The 22,788-nt window shown below is 35.7% G+C and overlaps 1 protein-coding gene and 1 long non-coding RNA gene across 2 annotated transcripts in view; one reads left to right on the forward strand and one right to left on the reverse strand.

Moving 5' to 3' along the window:
• The window catches only part of DBX2 (developing brain homeobox 2), a 36,428-nt gene that overhangs the window by 12,036 nt on the left and 1,604 nt on the right, over positions 1–22,788 (reverse strand). The window contains exon 2 of the mRNA NM_001004329.3: positions 9,312–9,407. Within this exon, the coding sequence (NP_001004329.2) occupies positions 9,312–9,407 (96 nt within the window). The remainder of the gene's footprint in view (positions 1–9,311; positions 9,408–22,788) is intronic.
• LOC105369742 (uncharacterized) lies at positions 8,336–18,993 on the forward strand. The gene is made up of 3 exons (XR_944885.3): positions 8,336–8,538; positions 16,765–16,879; positions 18,851–18,993. It is a non-coding gene; the product is annotated as an uncharacterized LOC105369742 (long non-coding RNA).

The following is a 22,788-nucleotide window of genomic DNA, read 5'->3' on the forward strand; positions in this document are numbered from 1 at the left end:
TCATTACAATTCATTCTCACTCTGCAAAACGAACGAATAACTTCTCCCTCTTTCCTTCCAGCTCTGTAACTCTGTATCTCCTTTGAATTGCCATAAACCTGAGATGTCATCAAGCCCAATTCTCTATGAAGGTCTACTTTCATTGATGCCCTTCCATTCATCTTCACATAGGATGTTGGTTATTTCCCCTTTTACATCATTAATTATTTTTGCCTGTCTCATGCCAAGATCATATCTTGAAGTCAGACTTTGACAACTAGATTCACTATTCTTTATCAGGGATTTAAGCAGTTTTATGAAATATTGGTCAATAATAAAAATATTCTGAATATCTCAATATGTGCATCTTTTTACTAAGTGCGTTTCTTCTCTGAACATTCCTTGGTTTGGATATCAGCCCTTACATGCATGACTTAAGGCAAGTTATTTGGTCTCTTCCAGCTGATTTTATAAGGCTGCTCCCAAGATTCAACGAAATAAGATAACAAAATTTCAGTGCTTAGCTCACATTAAGGATCCCACAAATCTACTTCACTTCCCATTGTTGTATTTTATTTGATCTTTACAAGAATCATATGCCACAGATATCCCTCACTATAGATGAAGACGTGTTCAGAGCAGTCAAGGTCCAAAGACACGCAAAGGACTTAGAGCAAAGCTGGCACCAAGACCTTCTGAATTCAAATTAGTGGCTCTTTCCTCTGCATTCTGGCATGCTTAATTTGTAAATGTATCCAATATACAATTATTACAGCAATAAGTATTAAAAATTAGGAGAAAAAATAAATATCCACTGGTAAAGAAATGCATATGTAAATTCACTTGGTAAAATTTTAGTGAATCATTAAAGATGAGGACGATGAAGATTAGGCAGCAGCAAAGAAAGTACTTACATTATGATTTTTTAAAGTATGATATTTAAGATATATATTATGTTCACAACTAAGCAAAAATGCAGAGAAAAAAATTGAAAAGACAAAAACAAACACAGAATTGTGTTATTGCATTGTAGCATTCTGGACAAATAATTCGTCTCCACTGTCCATGTTTTAAGTTTGGTTCTATTTTCTAATGAAAACAGGCAAGCATTGTAGCAGCCTTTTTGGGAATAACCAGTCAGTTACTGAGTTGTTGTTGAGTGATAATCAAAGATGAATTCAATCCATCCTTAAGGTGTTCATAGTCGATAAGAAAAAGTCCAAGAATAATACAGACAGCCACAATACAGTGGGATGAGACTACAGCACAGAAGGCATTAGTGCACCAGATAAGAAGCCGCTGAGTTAGGATGGTCAGCAAAGTAGGTCCAAGAGAGAGCAGCACCTAGAAGAACAGCAATTCCTCTTGCTGGCAATCGAGGGAAAGGCAGGTAGAGTCGAGGGATTAGCATTTGCAGAGGCATGAAGCCAGGTGAAGACAAGTGTGAAACATGGCAGATCTAAGAATCTCACACAACCTAGTGTTTCTGGATTGCAGGGTATGACTGGAAAGAACACAGGAGAAAAGCTGGAAACACAGATTAGGGCCAAGGGTGTCTGAAACAAGTTTAGGTTATAACTTGTGAAGGGAAGCCTTGCAAGAAGGACATAAGCAACCTAGCATTTTAGAAAGGCAAATGTCCTCTGAGTTAATAAAACCTTTTATGTCTATATACAGAGTCTAAAACAAATTTATGGTAACAGAAAAAATATGTACCCTTTTTTTTCTAAGTAGAATTTGTATAAGTAAGTCCCAAGATTCTATTCATTTTGGCTCTTCTTCACCAAGATCTACATGTTAAAATAAAATAGCGGGGAAATAAAACTCATTTAAATGCCCCTAAAACTTTTAATAGCAACCCATAGGTTTTCCTAATAAGTTGTTTTTAAGTAAAGAAAAAGAAGATTCCCATTAAGAGAGTCTACAAATAAATTATTCTCACCACTGTGATATACATTAACATTTGGGGCATCGTGAACCCAAACTAGCCCTTGATCTTGAAAGGTGAGACCTGGAGTAAGGGTCAAAGGGTTAACTACTGGGCCTGGTCCTCAAGTTTCAGTGCCCTATAACAAACAAGAACTCAACCAATAGACAAGCAAAAAAATACACCAAAAAGTAAAGAATATTATATTCTTTCCTTCTTTACTAGTTGCCTGGTTTCTCTTAGCACTGGTCCCAATACACAAATCAAGCTTGCTTTCATAAAGTGATGCAATGCAGTTCCTACAAGAAGCATATGACAATGCTGCTATTACTAAACCACCATTGATGCTCCTTCCCATGGCTCACCCATGAGTCTTTTATGGGCAATCTCTGGATCCAACCACAAACACGTTGATGAACCCATACCATTTTCATACCTTCTAAACATACATATAAGCACCTAAATTTTATGTCTCCAAAACACATGTCCAACTATTCATAAATTTATGACAAATGTCTGACTTTTATGGAGACTTCCAGGTAAACAAAAATAAATAATATAAAAAGAAACAGATATGGAGAATAAGGCATGTAGCAGAAATGAGGCTTTAAAAGCTGGAGCCACCAATTCAAGGTGCTACAGGCTCTATCAATTCGAGGATATTATTATTATGCAGCTTCCACATATATTGGGGCTTACATGTGCTGACATATGTGCCAACTACATGCATTATGTCATGTAATCTTTACAACAATCCCTGGAAGAAGAAATTACCACCCTCGTTGTTTACAGGAAAAAACTAGGCTCTAGAAAGTTAAGTTGTGCAATTAAAGTCACACATCAAAGCAGAGGGAGGCAAATCAATGCCTTTGTCAAATTACATCAAAGATTGTCAAAGGTACGAGTGGGCAGGGAAAGAAGTGGGAAAGTGGCAAGAGTTACATTAAAATAGCAGAATGACCCAGAATAGGCTGGGCGCAGTGGCTCATGCCTGTAATCCCAGCACTTTGGGAGGCGGAGGTGGGCAGATTGCCTGAGGTCAGGAGTTTGAGACCAGCCTGGCCAACACGGTGAAACCGTCTCTACTAAAAATACCAAAATTAGCCAGGTGTGGCGGTGCGTGCCCGTAATCCCAGCTACTCAGGAGGCTGAAGCAGGAATAAGTGCTTGAACCTGGGAGGCACAGGTTGTAGCAAGCCGAGATCATGCCACTGCACTCCAGGCTAGACGGCAGAGCAAGACTCCATCTTAAAAAAAAAATAATAAAAATAAATAAATAAATAAATAAATAAATAAATAAAAATAAAGAATGACCTGGGATAGAAAACTTTTCAAAGTCATGATTCCCTGGATTCCCTGGATTCCAGGATCCCCTGGATCCTGACATGCTCCCTAATTGCCGTCTTCCCCAGCAGCCCTGTATGAAGGGCCCAGTGAAGGGCGCTACAAATGGAGGTACACTGTGTGTTCATGATATTGTTAAGGAGGGGAGGTTGGGGGAGACAGAGAAACACAGCATTGGACAATCTAGTGATCATCATCGCCTCTCCCTATTGCCTCAACTTCTGGAAATCATGACTTAACTCTGAAGACAGGGCAATGGTGTTTGTAGCAGCCAGCAAGCACTACCAAACAAAGACAGACCTTATCCAGTCACTTTCTAAACATCAGACCAAGAGCAAATAGCTGCAGCTCTGGCCTGTCTATCTACACCACTGCAATTCAAAAGCATCTGATACTGTGAACAGCTTGCCAGTAATGTGTGTGATGTTTAGACTCACCAATAACTCATGTTAATCTCTGGATCATTGATACCACTCGGGGACACTTCCTTTGTCCCATATCCTTTCACCTATTGCTTCGAGAAGCTCTATAAAGGCTTCTGGATCATGCATGTCCAGTGCTACTCTTTGCCCCAGGATAGCTTCCAGCACCTGCCATGGCACTGGCCTTCTCTCTGTTTCCTGTTCTGTTCCAGCCTTTGCTCGCAACCTGGGCTACCCTGAGGTAGGCCAAGGCGTGCTATATAAAGGTGACTTCTAACAAGCCATGTTGTTTAAGGTTTGCTTTCTAAGTTTACAGTTTTTCCATATTAAAAACTAATTCATAACTCAGTATCCCCCAACTTTGTAAGGAAAATGATAGCGTAAGTCTATGAAGCACCACTGAATCTAAACCTCTCAAGGCTTTTAGTAAAAAATATCATTATTTCAGGATAACTCAAGCCAAGGGCTACCAATAACACTTTCAGAAACAGAATTCTTTCATCCTTTTATATAGATTCAATAGCTTCTCAGAACTGAAAGGGATAAGAGGTCATTTGTTTAATCCAGGCCTCTCCAACAGGCTAGCTACAACATCATCAGCCTCTATTAACTATTTCCTCAAAAGTAGCTCATTTCAAACCTTGAGTCTGTGTCTCTCCCTCCTGGAGTCAATTTTCCTCAAATGGGGGATGGTTCTTGTCTGTGGGCTCACCTTTTCCTGCTGCAATATTCCTCACAGTTGCAACTTCCTACCTCCTATCTTTCAGGGGCTTCTCTTTCATGAAGAGCTTCCTTACCCTTCTTATTTTCAAGTGTGTGTGTGTGTGTGTGTGTGTGTGTGTGTGTGAGAGAGAGAGAGAGAGAGAGAGAGAGAGAGATGTAATTTTTGCAGATCTTAAGTTTGGAGAGAAAAGACACAGCGTTTGCCAAACCTGTGTGATTTAAATTAAAAGTCTATCCTTCTGTTTCTATATAATCTTGTATGTGGGGGTGCCACATGATAATACTTATCGAACAGCTTGATTTGCTAGAAATCATTCCCTTATAACAAGCCAAAAATTAACTTTCCCTAAGCTCCACTCATTGGTCCCAATTCTACACTTTATATCTATTTGCATACAGTAGACCTGAGTTAAAGAAAACTCTCATGTTCTCCCTAGCGTTTCTCTTCTCCAGGACAAAAATATTCAATTTTTTTCCCAAAATTCCTGACTAGTCATACAGAGTCTTCGCTATTTTAAGTTGCTGTATACCTCTTAACCTGGTTTTTATATGAGAGCTTGTTCAATGTACCTTTTAAAGTGGGCCTCCAGAACTGAACGGGTGCAGGCAGTCTGACCATTTCAGAGTCCAGTAGTACTCTGATGTCTCTTGTTCTGGATGGTCTATTTCCAAAAGCACAATCCAACAACCGTGTATCATTTTGTAGACACATACTGAGCTGACAGTACGCTTTCCTGCTTTGTTCTATTCAGTCATTCTCCCCCTCCCCTATTCTTCACTTTTTTTTTGGAAACCAAAAATCAGGACTTCATAAGCAGCCCTGTTAGATTTCATGTTATGCTCAGACTAGGGCTATAGACAAGATCAGAGAAAACCACCCCATATTGTTAAGCAGTTACCCTCCCCCACCCTTCACCCACCCTTTACTGCTTAAGAACATTTGGGGAGAAAAGGAACTCCATTCCAGGAATATTACTCCAATACTTTCACTGCCTCTCTAGAACTGCTGAATAGAGCCATCAACTTGGAAAATCTATTGTCTTTGAGTCTCTGACTCCTTTAAACATTGTTCTTGGTTGACTGAATGCCATTTATCTATGGAACACCCCTCCCTGTACTTTTGAGAAGTCAACACCTATTCAACTTATTGCACAAACTCGATTATGTTTTAGACAATATAATTAGCCTCCTTTTTATATTAGAAAAAAAATTCTGCATCCCTCTGAAGATCTTACAGTGCTAAGATTAATCCTTATTTAAAAATTGTATGCAGCATTTTGTAGATTTCCACAAATCTGGTCAGTGTCCTCAGTCCACTGGCCACTCCAGCTGAGAGTAGTAAAAGAGAACACAGAAAGGACAGGTGGCAAGAATACTAATCAGAGCATTCCCCATCTTTGACCATGAAACTCACAGAATCAACATACATTCACAATTAGAAAAATAATGTCCCTTCCTTTCTGCCTTCAACACAATCTTAAAAATTCAAACTTGGAGAGTGTATTACGTTTTTTTAAGTTTTAACAAGAAGAAGAAGATAGCATAATTATCTTAAAATGTAGAATATAAGTTCATCTCCCAAAAGGCACAGCAGTTTGTTTCAGAAGAATATTTGGCTCAAATCTTTATAATGCTGCTCCAAATTTAACCTTTGTCTTTTAAGGCATAAAATTCAAAGGTCAAATTCAAGTTGGATACTCAAAGATGAAACAAAATAATTATCTGATTAATTCAATCAGCTAGTTTACATCATTAAGATTCCTACACTTTAAGTAATTTTTAAAAAGTCATTATTTACATAATTTCCACAACTTTCCATTTCATGTTATTTGAGAAATATGTTATTTTGAAAAGAACCTTGCGGTTGTAATATCAAAGATTTTCCATACACTGCTTTGGGTGAGGGAAGAACTGTTACCACTGCCTTTTAATTTTTCCCCACTGTAAGCGTTGTGCTTAAATAGCCTATTAAACTATTTACTATATGTGAGAAGGCCATTGAATGAATGATTGTTACCACATTGCAATGGGAAGTCAGTCGTAAATCTAAGAAGTTAACAAGAAAAACTAAATCAATATTAAATAAATGAATCAGGTTAAGAGTCAAAATTATACTTCACTCGCGTAGTTAAAAATGTGCTGGTCTGATCCTACTCTTTGGAAAGAGTGAAGCAATATTGTGAAACAATGATGAGGGCCATTGATTTAATCAGTTATTAAACTTTTTAATATAAACCTAATTTTGGCTGTCTGAGCTGAAACTTAATGCAAGTTTATTTGGACAGTACATTTTCCTTTGCTTGTACAATGTTAAATAATACAAAGACCTGGGCATAAAAATCATTCTTATTATTAGAAAAAGGAGAAAAAAAGAAAATCTAGTAAATGCCTTAAATTAAAGAAGATTATTGTACAGATGTAAACCTTATTAACTGTACCTTGGTATCCTGGTTATTTATGTAAAATTCTTTATTGACAGCTTAATTCTACCATGTTATTATTTGCTGTTAATACAAATGAACATTATAAATAAGAATATATGAAATTCATTTTAGAGTTATAACTAATAATATGAGAAACTATCATTTATTAAAATCACCTGTGGGATCTCTAAACTGTTTTAAAATGCCAACTTTAGAAATGAAGCCAAACCAAGTGCATCATTTTCTATCCTTGATTAGAGCTGTACTGATTTTCAGCTTCTATATTTATTTTTAAGAAAAAGATAAACACAGGACTTCATAAACCTCCAGGGATAAACACTATAATTTACAAGAATTATGCAAAAGGCACAAAGTAGAAAGGACTGGGAAGCAGATGGAGAAAAATAAGACCTGCTTAAAGTAATTTCTCAAGCAGCAGAGAAGATAAAGTCATCTAGAAAACATCTTTAGCATTACTTTTACATGCTCTATTTACTGAACTGACCCAACCTTTCTTTTCTATCTAGTAAACTGGCCCAAACTTTGATGGCTTGAGACTCTTCAAACGTCCCTATAAAATAAGTACACACACACACCCACACCCACACACACACACACGCACATGAATGTCTGTCCACCTATTACATGGAATTTTTTGTCCATTTCCACTTACCTGGACTGCCAGAGATTTTCTGAAGTAAAAACCCAGTATCATATCATGATGAAATAACTGAAGCTAAGTGTGGGACCTCTTTTGATCTCCACTCCCGAAATCTAACACTGAAGACTTAATTCCACAGCGATGCCATCATGATACGGTATCAGATATTTGGGTTTTAGGTCTCTACTCCAGAAGTCTTTTCCTGATACTCTAATATATGGTGATAAATGTCTCCTTAATTTGCACAAGAGTTTTCAATTGCCCTCACAGGAGACCACCTTGAAGGAGCGAGTAAAAGGTTTAGTCATGGTTTCTATTTTGCTGTTTGAATTCAATACATTCTAGTTAAATGGACAATTAATAGGTCACTTCCAAAATAGTAGTGTATCAGTCCCGGTTAATAAAGAATCCCCACAGTTGATAATGGGCCCTATGTATTCAGCAAGTCCCTGTATACACTCAGCTCATCCACTAAATCCCTTTTCAGGTAGACAGGGTTATATGGGAAGATGAGCTAGAATGAGTCTATAAAAGTCAGTTTCATTTACTGCTTTATTTTTCAGTCAAGTGCTTTAAATGGTGTCCAGAAATTCACTTGGAATGTGAGACAGGAGAAAAGACTGACACACAGAGCCTTGCTTTATGACCATACAAAAGGGCAACTGACCCTTGCCCAAGCCTTTTCCATGTGAAATGGTTCCTAAAGTTCATCTGCAGAGTGAAAAATCGTGGTGAGGTCGCGTGTGGATGAGTCGAGTGAAAGTGACGATTGGTCACGGGTCTGTCACCCATTGTGGCCAGGCCCCAGCCATGTAAAGTGCTCTGTGGGAAAGTATCAGCCCCCTAAAGAGATGCTTAGAGCCTGCAGCTCATTAAACGGCCAGCATTTGCTGCCTCACTTGTCAGGAATTATTCTGTCGAGCAACTGCTTTCCTGAACCATTCCCAAAACACATGCACAGAGGCAGCAGCGATCTGAATTCAACCGTGATGGGGTTCGGCACAAGAGCCTGACTCAACTCTTAATTTCACTTTTCACCTGACAGAGCTGTTAAGCTGAGTAAGTGTTTTCTCTTGGGCAACTGAAAGAAATGCACCCTTCCACTGGACCTCTTTACCATAAACTCAAATTCCCTGCCTAGATGTTCTCATCTAATCCAGAAATCTCAAGACCAAGGGGAGTTTTACTTTTATGCCTGCATTTTTCCTTTGAGTGTGAGAGTGTGTGTGTGCACACTGCGAGATTTTGAAAGTCTGTCATTCTCACTCCACCCCCAGACTCTACTAAAATGTTGCTTTTACAATGTTGGGAGAAGAGTTCTCTTGAAAATATTTCCAACAGTTCTGGTTGGTTACCTTCAAGATGCCAAAAAGGAGAGATTTATCTCCTCTCACGATCTTGACAATTTTAAATTATTCTCCATAGACACTTAGTGACTTTCTGTGTTACATTTTAAGTGGAATGGAAATTTTACACAGCACAATTTTTCGCCTTCCTTCCTTTCCTTTTTCCTCTTCTTTAAAGGAGTGTTGCTACACATTTCAGAAAAGCCAAACTGGTCCCTCCGAGATCTTTTATATCAAATGGAAAACAAGTTGCTTTCGGTGATGTGTCGGCCCTGGGTTTCAATGCCATTAGAACTGCTCACAATTGCTCAGTGTGCTGAGGTTTGATAAATCTCTGGAAACCTCTTGAATAAGATCGCTGTGACTTTTAGTGAGGAATTAGCTCCTTGCCATTGCATTACCAATTAGTTTTCCAGAGCACATTAAATCCTGCAGCTTTGGTTTACAGAATAACTGAGGCATTGCTGATGAAGGATAAAAACTTACTTGGAAAAGCAGTGGAGGATGCAGGGCGCCGACAGGACCCACCGCAGCACGCCGAGTAGAATGGCGGGGTGCTCAGAAGGAAAGGTTTGGAAGGTGCTGCAGAGAAAGCATTGATCTCATTGATTAGCCATTTCTTTAAGACAATATTCAAAACTCCAGTTTCCTAAAAGTCATTGAGTAAATACTTTGCTTAGTTTTTTAATTTGTATTGAAATTAAAGTTATTATAAAGTAGCCTTTGTCTGTCAAAGAGCATGCCAAATAATCTCATCAAGATTTGAGAGGGGTAGTGAAAAGACGCAAAGAGACTATGAAACACCAAGCTTCTTAGATCATTTTCTGTGCGGTCATCATTATAAATAGTAAACATCAAATATTCCTTTATTTAAAATACCCTAGAACAACACTGTCCAAGAAAACTATCTGTGATGATTGGAAATGTCTATGTCTGTATTGTTCAAAATGGTATCTGCTACCCACATACAGCTACTGTACACTTAAAATGTAGCTAGTATAATGAATAACTGCATATTTACTCTAAATTCACTTATATTTAAATAGACTCATACGACTAGGGATTATATTAAATAGCACAGCTCTAGATATCCTACTTACCAAGAAATGATTTAAATGTTATGTGCTTACATTTAATTTTTAAAGTTTATATCTCTTTGCTTATTTTCAGATGGTTCTTTGAAACATATAGTTAGTTGGATTCCAAAGTTGGTAACAGTAAATTTACTGAGCAATTCCATAACAAAAAGTGGTGTTTCTGATCACATTTACATGACTTAAAGTATTTGAGAATAATCCCATTTTATCTCAAGAGTAATCTAGTCACCCTGAAGATATATGTGTTTCTAGTATAGTGAGTTGCCATGTAATTCTGCTCTGCATAGTTTTATTAAAATAATCTATTCATAAAGTTTTCAGGAGAAATGCATGAACTATTTATTATTACTCCTGTGCAAAAGTATGAAAGAGAGACCCATTTTGGTGGCCAAAAACTTCTATAAAATTTTTTGAAGTCTCATTAGTATAAGTTGTTCTATTATTTTGACTATAAAACCATCATAGAAATGATGAATCATCCCCTTTGAATTTAACATTTTAAGTTAAACTCTTTCCTCAGTAGATGAGAACAGCTATAAAGGATAAAACATGAATAATAACTCTCCATTATTGAGCACTTACTGTATGCTGTGCTTTGGTTAAGTGCCTTAGACACACCATGTCCTTTCATAGAATAGGTTTAATACAATATAACTGTAGGTGGAGATTGCCTAAAGTGGGCACTTGCCCATACCATGACACATTCAACAGAGTGCCTAGCACATTCTAAACAGTCAAAAAATTTTTTAGTAAATGAACAAATGGTCTTCCAAATGAACAAACAGAAAACTTCCCTGGTCTTAGGGAAAGAATGAGGATCAAGAATTAATCCTTCCCCTGCTTCCTGACCCATCCTAAAACATGGTGTCTCTCATAACTGATGACCTTGAAATCTAAAACATGACTTGAAAATAAATATTTTTATTATTATTCTTTCATATTCAAGGGACAACTTCTTTCCTTTTCTTAATCACATTCGTGAATATTGTTTCCATATGACTACATACCTTTTTGAAGAACACAGTAATTTCAGACTTGTATTTTAACGAACTGATGAGCTGTTTATATTTATTTTCACAATTTCTTTGAAGGATGTATCAAAATAAGTATAGTTTCCAATAAGAATTTTTATAGCATTTCAGGGTCCTGGGTGCTTTAAAATTGCAAATTAATCATAAATGCAGTTTTCTTCCTAGCACACAATGGGAAGTTGTTAACATTAATGCTTTTAGGTTTTTTTTAAATACTTGGGTTTTTAAAGAATCAAGTGTTTGTTTTAATGCTGTTTTGAAAATATGGCCGCTAAGCAAAGGCATAAAAAGGAAACCAATTCTGATGTTCAAAAAGTTTTATAAATTTTTTTGAAGTTTCATTGTTATCATAAGTTGTTCTTATATTGACTATAAAACTGTCATGGAAATTATAAATCATTTCATTTGAATTTTACATCTTAAAGTATGTTACAAGAGTATGGCATTATTTATGCAGATTTACATTTTCATTATTGCTATGGATATATGAAGTACTTCAGAAAGAAGAAATATAAAAGTTGCCTAATTATGTTTATTTTCAAGCATTTCTGTTAGCTAACTTATTTCCCCTCCAAGATAAACATTCTATAAATAATAAAATGATGGCTCTTGCACTGTTTTGTTTTGGACTTTTGTTGTTATTGTTGTTGTCTTTTGAGGTAAAAGAAAAAAAAAGACTCAGCAATGTTACATTTGCTGACATAAAATTAAACATTTACCATGTTAACTGGAAACAGAAAACAAAAAAAAAGGTTTTGGTTTTGTTTTTTGCTTAATTAGGGCATAGAAAATGTGATCATACTACTGATATCATTAATATAAGGATGCAATATGTATGCAATATGTGTGTGTGTATATATTGCATACATATTGCATCCTTATATATACATATATATATTACAAATTTTTCTATTCTAACCAAAATGTTTCTCATCCCAACCCTAGGGCCCTAAAAGTGGGAAAATAAAATATTTTAAAAATGGATGGTTTACTTAAAATAAATGATCAATTAAATTCCCAACCCTAGGGCCCTAAAAGTGGGAAAATAAAATATTTTAAAAATGGATGGTTTACTTAAAATAAATGATCAATTAAATTCTTAGTGATAAATGTGGTTTACAGATATCTGATCTTAATGCTGAATTTAACCAGAAAAACCATTTTAATTGAATAGTCTATTATATCTCTCTACATTACCCTATCTTAATATAAAAAAGCTGTAATCAAAATGACAGTATCAAAATCTGTAATTGCAAAAAAAGTAATCATAATCTACAGTAACAATTCTAGTTTTGACTAAAGAACTGGACTTCTTCACATTTTGTGATGTGACCAGGCTTGAAGTTCTATTGTGTACAATTTTTCACCATTTTAAATCACCTTTTTGACATGCATATTTACACACGAGTTTAAGTCAATTCCTGATTGCTATACATAAATACATCTTGTTTAAGCTGGTTTATGTGAAAATCACTGTAAAATTCCAATTAAGTGCTTTTTTTTTTTACATGTTCCTATTTTGACCTAAGTCAAATGCTAATCCAGTGAGCACATGATTGCAGGAGCACTGAATGGCCTTAAGAAATCACCATTTAAAACAATGCACTGCATTGAAGGTATATATATATATATATATATATATATATATATATATATATATATGTATCACACTTTTAACTTTAGTGAACCATATACTTTTTTTAAGTAATGACCAAAACAGGAAACTCTGCTTTGATGAAAACAAAGTGACAAGTTGATAGATGTGCTGTAAACCCTTAAGAATTACTTGGAAGGTGCTCTGAAAAAGGTAGAAAAGGTAATTTGATCCTAGATAAAATGCATTTCAAACCCATCAGTGCCATCTAGATGCAGTTGCTTAATCATTTATCATGTTAGAAATGATTAACTGTAGGCTCACTGAACAATATTTATAATGATAATATTTAAGGAGTGCTTACTATATATCAGGCACTGGACTAGCTACAAATTTAACACATGCTAACTCATTGATTCATTAACATTCGACACATCTGAAATGTGATTATGACTGCTCACAGCAAATTAAAAGAAAAAAGGACGAGAAAAACAATAAAGATTTAACATAATAATTAATTACTAGCCATGAGGGATAGAGATTTCATGCACCATGACTCTGCCAGCTATTCAGTAAGAGCTAGACCCTGGACAACTGACACATCTCCCAAGATTTCCATGAGAGAGAAAAAAAAAATGGCCTTTCCTCTGGAAAAAAATATAAACAGTTCAGGTTCTACAGCATGACGTCAGGTTGTATTAACACAACATCTCGAGACACTCCAAATTTCATATCCTACTATGATGGTTAATACTGAGTGTCAACTTGATTAGATTGAAGGATGCAAAGTACTGGTCCTGGGTGTGTCTGCAAGGGTGTTGCAAGGGAGATTAACATTTGAGTCAGTGGGCTGGGAAAGGCAGACCCACCCTTAATCTGGGTGGGCACTATCTAATCAGCTGCCAGTGCAGATAGAATATAAAGCAGGCAGAAAAAAGTGAAAAGACTAGACTGGCCTAGCCTACCAGCCTACATCTTTCTCCCGTGCTTCCTTCCCTCAAACACTGGACTCCAAGTTCTTCAGTTATGGGACTCGAACTGGCTCTCCTTGCTCCTCAGCTTGCATACATCCTATTGTGAGACCTTGTGATCTTGTGTCAATAGTTAATAAACTCCCCTTTATATATATGCCTATATATCCTATTAGTTCTGTTCTTCTACAGAACCCTGACTGATACACCTACCAATCAAGCTTCCAATTTCTGTGTGAAACTGTTATGAGTTACAAACAAAATGACTTAAAAATTTTGGAACTAAACTGGGGCTTGTCTGAATCCAAATGACTAAAATTATGTATTCAGAGAAAACTTCATGAACTTTCCGTATGACTTATTTGAAGATACAGATTCAAGATATCTTTTATCTTGCATGTTTATTTAAGATGGGAACTTATAGCCAACCTAATGGTGAACTAGCCTGATTTTTTTTAACTTAGCTGACTAGATGTTTCTGTGATACAAGTATCCCATAGCCAAGCAAGGTTACAAGTTTAGCTACTGAGAAATTATTCTGTTTTCTAGAAAACAATAATTTTTTAAATTGTTTTTGTCCTTTTTATTCTCCTTTAGTAATGGAGAAGAACATCAGGAATCTAAATGGTGTGAAACCACATTCTTATTGGCAATACAAACAAATTATGGTACTAACTGACTTGAACTGACATTTCAAAGGAAGAATACTAAAGACCACTAATAAAACCTTCAAATAAATTTCAGGAACCACTGCATTTAAGAAGGATGAGGAGAAATGATAGAAGGTTCCAAAGTATCTTACTAAGGCAACCACTGGGGGGAAGAAAAAAAAAAAAACCTCTAGGAAAGAATGACAGGGAAGTAAATAATTAAGAATATTATTATAACAAATAATAATATTAATAAATTAATTAAAACTAATCATTAATAATGAATTAAAATAATTAACTAAATAATAATTAATAAATAATAAATTAAAATTAATAAATTATAAATAAAATAATAATAAAGAATGACAGGGAAGTAAATAATTCCAAAAGGATGGTTTTAATGACCTCTTTCACATGCCAGGTACGTGGCCACTAAGAAGTCAAAAATCTAAACTTCTGACTTGCAAATAATACACAATTGAACCGACAGTCTAGGGTGGAGGGCACCCAAAACAAGACTCCAAAGAGCAGCAAACATCTATCTTGAATAGTTAGAACAAAGAAATATCAATTAGCTAATGAAGTTTGATTTATTTTAATATTTAGTCCACCTGAAAGTAATTTGTTTATGTGATCTAATTGCAAACCTTGCCTTCAATCACCACGCATAGCAAGTTAGGTAAATTCATCCTTTACTTTTCTGTTTATCAGAAAACAAGAGAAGCCCGCATTTTTTGCCTCAAAAGTGTTTTAAAGACAGAAAAACAAAGGGTCTTAATGTTTTGGTAGAGCTCATGAGAAGATATATCAAGTGCAGTGTCTACTTGTTTGCTTCTATCCTTTCAATTTAGGGCAAATAGTATGTACTGCCTATCTGTCAAGTGCTGAGCACTGCACTGTGTGCTGGGACTACAAAGATTGAAAAAGGAGTTTCCTTCCTGGAATAATTTATATTTTTTAATATTCTTTAACTTACAGATTTGAGTCTGCTGGTTAATGAAATGAAATGTAAATTTCTCAGTTACTCCAAGTTCAGTTTTGTTCAGTGAAACCTGACACACTCCCCAAGGAGATGCAATCTAACAAAATTCATACTGTGCACATCCATAGCCAGTGGTTCTCAACCCTGAATACACATTAGAATTGTCTGGGCTGCTTCTCAAAGATACAGATGCCTAGCCCCCACATCAATTGTTTTAAATCAGGCTGGCTAGGACTGGACACCCGCATAACATTTTTTCACTTTGTAGGTGATTATAATATAAAGCAAGGATGAGACCGTGAAAAGAACATAAAACAACACCTGACACATTGTAGACATTCAATAAATGTTAGCCTCTCCTCCTGCCATTAGTATATAATCTGAGATCAAGACTAAAACAGCACATAAAAAAGCTGTATTGTGCAGACTTCTACTGAAATACAGAATAAAAAGAAAAGGATATTTTAAGAAAGCCTTGTTCAAAGAAGGCTTTAAGCAGGAGAAACATCTTAATCAGGGCCTTGATTTGGAAAGTACTTGGAAGGGCAAAAGAAGAGAATGAAACCATTCCAAGAAGAAAAGGTTGCAGGGACAAAGGAAAAGAGGCAAGGATGGTGTTAACACATGGGGCAGGTGAAGGAGACCAGCCTGGCTACTGGGACAAAGCCCCACGGGTGAACATTAAGCAATGTGGCTAGAAGAGTTAAATGCAGTTGATGGAATGAAGGCCTTAAAGGCCAAACTAGGTAATTTCATTTAATCTGTAGTCAAATTGGATAATTTAGGTTTTCCTCAATAGCTTGGTGACATGATGAACACTACATTTGAGAAAAGTTCACCTGGCAGTGGTGGACGGGATGCAGCGGAATAAAGAAGGGCCAAAGGGAAAGCTGCTATGCAGTAACAACATGCTGTAGCAACAGGTGATGACAAGCATTTGTGTGAACACTTCCAGCAACATCTTATCTATCCTCACAACACCAACAAGTTGACAGAGTCTGGCTTCCCTCCAGCTGTGGGACGTTAGTTCACCATGACCATCACAGGTGCCCAGGGTCATCACCTCTGCTGCCTTACCCTTCAGGGAGTCTCAATTAGACCGCTCTGAAAAAATGATCTAAACTCGAGGAGATTCCTTGCTCTTTTTATTATAAAGTCTATGTCACAGAAGAGAATACTATAAGCCTTTGTGAAGGTTCCCTGAGCTCCCGGCTATACCACTCTGTGTGATTAATTCCTGCATTGGTCTACTCCAGCAGAAGACAGACCTAGCAGGAAGTGTATCTGATATTGGTTATCTTGATTTCACCCTGGGACAGATTTTAAATGATCACAAATTATTTGGTACTCCTTCCATTGAAAGGTGAGGTCTGTTTCTTCTTCCTTTGAATTTGGAATGGCCTTGGTGACTTGCTTAACCAAGAGACATGGCAGATATGACACTCTGAAACTTCTGCAACTAAGTCTTATGAAGTTCCAGAATGTCACTTCCAAGACTAAGTCGTAAGAAACTGCAAGGCTTCATATGACCTAGTATTGGAAGTATCAGAATGTCCAAAGTTCCAAAGCCACATGGGTTTTTGGAATGTGTGCTCTTGGTGTTCTCCCTTTCAGAATCCAGCCACTCTGCTATAGAAAGGCCAAGAAACTTGGAAAGCCCAAGTGTGAATGCTGCAATAAACAGCTCCAGTTGAGCAACCAGTCAACAGATGGCATCAGTGCCAGCCATGTGAGTAGCCATCTTGGACATCCAGCTCAGTCAAACCTTCCCATGAGTTTAGTCCCAGTTGACATCTAACATCACTCAAGATTCTAAGTGGGAACCACCCAACTGAGCCCAGTCAGCCCACAAAACTGTAAGAGAAAATAATAAATTGTTCTTCAAGCCACTGAGTTTTGGGATGGTTTCTTATACACAACGCCCCTTTTACCAATAATTTGCTTATGGTGAAATGGTGGGAAGGAGTCCTGCACATCTTTTCCTGTATCTTACCAGTGCGCTTTTGAGGTATGTGCTTTAAAGTCAAATGCTGACTCTACCACTGTTCACATTTTGAAATGAGGAAAGAGAGGCTCTGTGAGGTTATATGAATTCCTTATGGTTACAGAATCAGTAATCTGAAGACCTTGAATCTAGACTTTTAAATACAGGAATGCTCAGAGAGCTATAGGTAGTTTTAAATTTAACCAATTTGCCATTTACACGTTGGAGCAAGCGCTGGCATACTTCTATTATAAAAAGCAAGATAGTAAATACTTTATGCTTTGTGAGCTACACAGTCTCCATTATGACTATTCAATAGAAAAGCAGCTATAGAAAATATGTAAACAAATAGGTGTCATTCTGTTCTAGCTTTAAACAATCAGATGGTCTTTTTTTGTTTCAGACCCAATATAACCACAAAACTTGTTCAATAGACCTAAACTCAATCCAGCCCTAGGTTATCTATTAAAAACTTGCCAGCAGTCACGGTTTTTATTCCTTTTTTAATGTACATAAATTTTCTCAAAGAATGACTTATTAACTCCTTCACATATTTTAATTTTAAAAATAATAGAGACTTAAGGTTTTAAAGAACAAGAAATTTTGAGCCTTTTCAAGAGGCTTTGTGGAAATCTATATATTCTATTTCTGATGGTCGCTTAGAGTTAACAAAAAATTAAGGTTGTTATGGCATGGTCCCTGAACACGTGAAAGAAAAGTGAAAAATCTAGTCATCTGTGCATCATTTATAAACAAGAAGGCATTAAAATAGTCAGCAATTTTTACAAAAAGACGCAACCTTTTTGTTTTCCTTTCCTTTTCCTGAATGCTTTGGTTCTAAAAGTCTAAAAACTCCTATAGGCTTTTTGATCTTTGGTTTCAGAGACAATTTTAGTACCTTAAGTTGACTGTTCACATACCTCACAAAAGTGTGCCCCTGACATATTCTCAACTAATAGCTGGTTGACAAAATGAATAATCCTATTAAAAATGAAATCAGCTATGGTAACTTTATATAGAGTGATGGATCACTCAGCATTGCCAAGTTAAGTATTGACTGGAGGCTAAAAAGAATGAAAGAGAGAGATTTCATTAAAAGTGGAAACATTACTGAAAGTAAAATAAAACATTTTGGAATAAAATATACAAGGGCCTGGTAAGTATGTTATATGTTAAGGCAAAAATCCAATTTCTTACTAAGAGAGTATAAAATAGAAACATGATCTAATAAAGTCTAAAATGAGGATTCTAACAAGCATTCCTAGATAAAAATCATATTGTTTCATTTTACAACTTGCCTTTTTATTCCTGACAGACTCCAGGTGTATTTGAACGAAAACTCAGTTATTTAAACTGACTTAAAAGTTGTGTCCTTTCATTGTATATATAAAGAAAAACTACTGTAATTAGAAAAACTTTACTTAGAGCTTCTTCTAACCGAAAATTAAGTAGACAAACACTGTATTAAGGGCTGCAAAGCAAGACCCTCAAAAGATCTTTGTATTTAATGCCCACCCTAACATAAGAACACATTTGTTTAAATGTTTTAAATAACATTTCATTTTTGTATAAACTTTCATAGCAAAGAATCTCAAAGGATTTTATGAACACGATTAAACAGAAATCATGCATGGATGTTGTGTCCTTCACTTTTAAGTTGCTACCATTTCTCTCATCGTTCAGCAGCAAATCTAACTGTAAAATATCTTCTTACAGGAAAAAGACATCTGGTGGTCACTAAGAACAGGAAGGAGGTGGCACACCCAAAGAGAACTATCATGGAGTCTAAGCACAGCTTAGGTTCCAATATCTGAACCACATCCATGGCAAACAAATATAAATAAAATCACCCTTGGCAATCCCTTTGTTTTTTTATTTGTTTGTTTGTTTGTTTTTTAGACAGAGTCTCGCTCTGTTGCCCAGGCTGGAGTGCAGTGGTGCAATCACAGAAATCCCTTTAAATTGCCCAAAACATACGGCATCCTTTTGACTTTATGTAGCATAACCCTGAACACTCTAAATTCTACGTTTAATTCTATGTAAGTCCATACATAAATTTACAGGCATTCAAACCATCGTACCCCTTAAAATAACCCTCAAATCCCTAAAGGAATGGAGCTAAGTAAGTGGAAAGTTCTAAAACCTTCTTATTTGCCTGCTCCATGTACTCCTGTTTTATTATTAAACCTCAAGAGTTTTAGTACATATTACCAGATTGAAATTTGCTTGTTGTTAGAGCAAAGAAGAGAAGCATGTGTTGGGGCAAAGGAGAGACAGAGATATTGGTTCTAATAGTCTCTTTTATTTTATCCACTGCAAGAACTTCTCCTTGAACCTGAAGGTGTTTATTAACTTAGGGACCACAGAGCTGATTACTCATGAACTAGGTAAAAGTTATTAATATGTTAGTTTTAAATAAAAAGGTATGTTGAGCAGATTACAGAAAAATATACAGATATGGAAAGAATATGGTTCTGGTATTCTCAAAAAATTCCACCAAAGGATGACTGGAGTGATGGCCTCAGCAAAGTGATGGACTAGCATAGGTCCCATCACTATCCCATTCGGAATCCCCTGTTGTCATCCTGGTTCTGAATCAGCATCATCAACACTCAAAATTCTATGATTTTAATTTGTCAAAATGAATCTAAACCATAGTGTCAGCAACAGAAAGCTCAAATTCGGACTTAAAAAATAAGATCACAAAGTCTTTACTTAGAATGCAATCCCCACCTTGAGCACAAATCCCTTTTCTCCCTTGCGTAGGTGCCTAAAATGTAAAAGAGGCCATTTTATTTCACACTTTCAGTGTATCTCAGTGGAGGAAAAAACTACCGTTTGCAGCACCAGACATAAGTGTGAATAGTTTCAGACAGTCAACAATTAATGGGTAAACAGTACTTGGGATTGGGAGACAGACAAGAAAACTAGAGTGCACATTAAGTATTGATGGTCAGAAACAATCCTAACCGGATGCCAGAAAAAAAAATACTAATGCTCTTTTATTTCTTTACTACACAGAATGACTTACTTGGCAAAACTACTTTTTAAAACAGCAGCTCAATTCACCTATCCAGAATGAACATTTGCTTTCCAATCCTTTCATATGCAGCAGAAGAATAGATTTAATAAACAATAAAGGAAATTATATTCAGGAAATTATTTTTATGTCAAACATTTTCTAAAATGCTTAAAATAACAAATGTTATTAATAAACATGACTATTTGTTCCACTTATTTTGAAGAGAATTGATGGCATAACCACCAATTGGAAAACTGATATCATTCTGTAGCCAGGAGAATTTAAATCTTTCAGCATTTTACATTTTGAGGCCCTCTTTTATATACAGACATGAATATTTTAATCAGGCATAATATTTTCCAAATATTGTCACAAATAATGGCATCAGGAAACTTCTGAGGAAGGATGTCTAATAATCAGAGTTTACTCAAAAAACCTCCTGGTTTCCACTAATAAACTATAATACAACCATGACATTTTTTCTTTTTTCAGATGTAAGCCCTGGAGGAGAACCTATTTCCTACCCAATATTGCCCTAAATGTGCCCCTCCCTAGCCCTGAGCCCTTTGATTTTTAGAGTTTTAAAACTATTCTATATAAACAACTTGACAACATATAGCTATGGAGTGTGGCTTTTCTTGCTGTAAATACTCAAACTTAACAATTTTCAGGGATGAAGCACTGACAACTCTACTTTCATCCATGACCTGTAAATCTGTGTTACTGTGTTTAACTGTCACCACCTTTCAAATATATTTCATAACAAGAGGAAAGGGAAAGCTAATTTCTTCCATTATGGGCTGAGGGGCAAAATCACAATCTGATTTATTATTGTGATACTATGTAATTGGTGATCCAATTGGCCCTCATTATTTTCTTCTAGTCAATGGAAGACTAACCTAAGGTTAGGACTCTGAAGATTTTGGGCAATTTTTTCTCTATCACAAGTTCATATATGATTAAAGTGCTACTTGGGACAAAAACAAAATGAGCAAATGAAATAGTCATTGAGAAAAACAACTGGAATCTCCATAGCCACCTCATTAGCTTATTAGGAGGATTAAAGGAGCTATTTTGAAAATGGCTGCTAACCTATAAAGCAGTACAGAACATGGAATGTAAGCTCTACAAGGGCCGAGACAGTCATCTGTCTTGTTAACTGATTATGCCAATGGCCTAGAACAGAGCCTGATACATGGGAGACACTCAGTAAGCATGTGCTGAATGAATGAAATATATGGTATATTTAATAGTAGGTAACAAAAAATAACGAAAAATAATGAAACCAAAATGCATGCAGAAGCATAAATCCCGCAGTTAAACGGTGCTATATTTCACCAATGAACTTAAAAATAACTCTGGGGCTTTCTTATTCAAATTTAGATGTGGTGCACTCAACAAATTAAGTCTGGGAAAAAAGGGGGTAGTCAACATGCAGAAATTACTAAAATCAGATTTTGTGTTCCACTCCCAAGTTAGTGTCTAAAGGATCAGAACTGGTTGTTGGATAACATTTCAGAAAAATATGGTATTATCTTCCCGAAAACAAAGCTTCTCCAACTCTTATGCTGTCCCCAGAACACCAAATCACTATTTCATCCTCACCTAATTTCCACCTGATAGAAAAAATTGTTGGCAGTCCATTATAATTTCATAATTGTACACTGCATAAAATAATTCCCACATTTGGTAAGGCAAGAATCTGTAATTTAAATAAAACCGGGGCAATGTTCAGAAAACTACATTCTTTATCCAATTATAAAAATAAATCAATATAAATTCTGGTTTTTAAGCAGCATATTTGTGGGGTCAAATTAATGAGATTTTAGTTTTCTTCTTTAGATATTTTTCTAGTTTCAGAAACTAATGTTTTCTTTACAAGAATAATTTGTTAAAAAACAAAGGTTGTTTGTTCAAATGAAAATTAATCTAGAACATCATATCTTCAATGAGTGTTGAATAAAATATTTGGAAAAATACATGCTTAAACTGTATTAGAATACTTCAAAAGGGAATATAAATTCTTACAACCCTCGTAATTATTCCAAAAACAATGTTTGCAATTGGACACTTTGGTTAAGTGTACAAGAATGAATATGTTCTTGAAAATAAAAAGAATGTACTTAGGAAAACTTTTAACCTTTAGTTGCAATATTTTGAAATAAGTATAGTAAATTATTTTTTAGGGTTATTGAAATAACTGCACTTGATTTGCATTTATTTTATTTAAATGTAATCTGTGAAATCTGCAAAGGTTAAAATTAAATATCTTTTCATGGCGGAGACAATTATGATTAGAAAAAGCTTAGGAATCCTTGAAAAATAACTTCTATCAACACAATGCCAAGCCACCAAAAGTTATGCAAATCAACAAATTTTCTGGAAAATGTTATTTTTATGAAATTTAATTTATTAACTCTCTTCCAAGTGAATCTGCTTTATGCCTAATTTTTCTAATACTTCAAAAAGAACAGAGAGGCCCAAATTTCCATAAACTTTGCCTTAACTGTTTGTTCCTCTTTCAGGGTGCAAAAAAGGTTCCCTAGCATTTAGGTTTTACACTAGGTGAATGAGACCGGTGTTCATATAGTTATATTTGTTCCATTCTGTTAGTAACCATTTCAAAGTGAAA

Source organism: Homo sapiens, chromosome 12 (assembly GCF_000001405.40).
Source record: "Homo sapiens chromosome 12, GRCh38.p14 Primary Assembly".
NCBI lineage: Eukaryota > Metazoa > Chordata > Mammalia > Primates > Hominidae > Homo > Homo sapiens.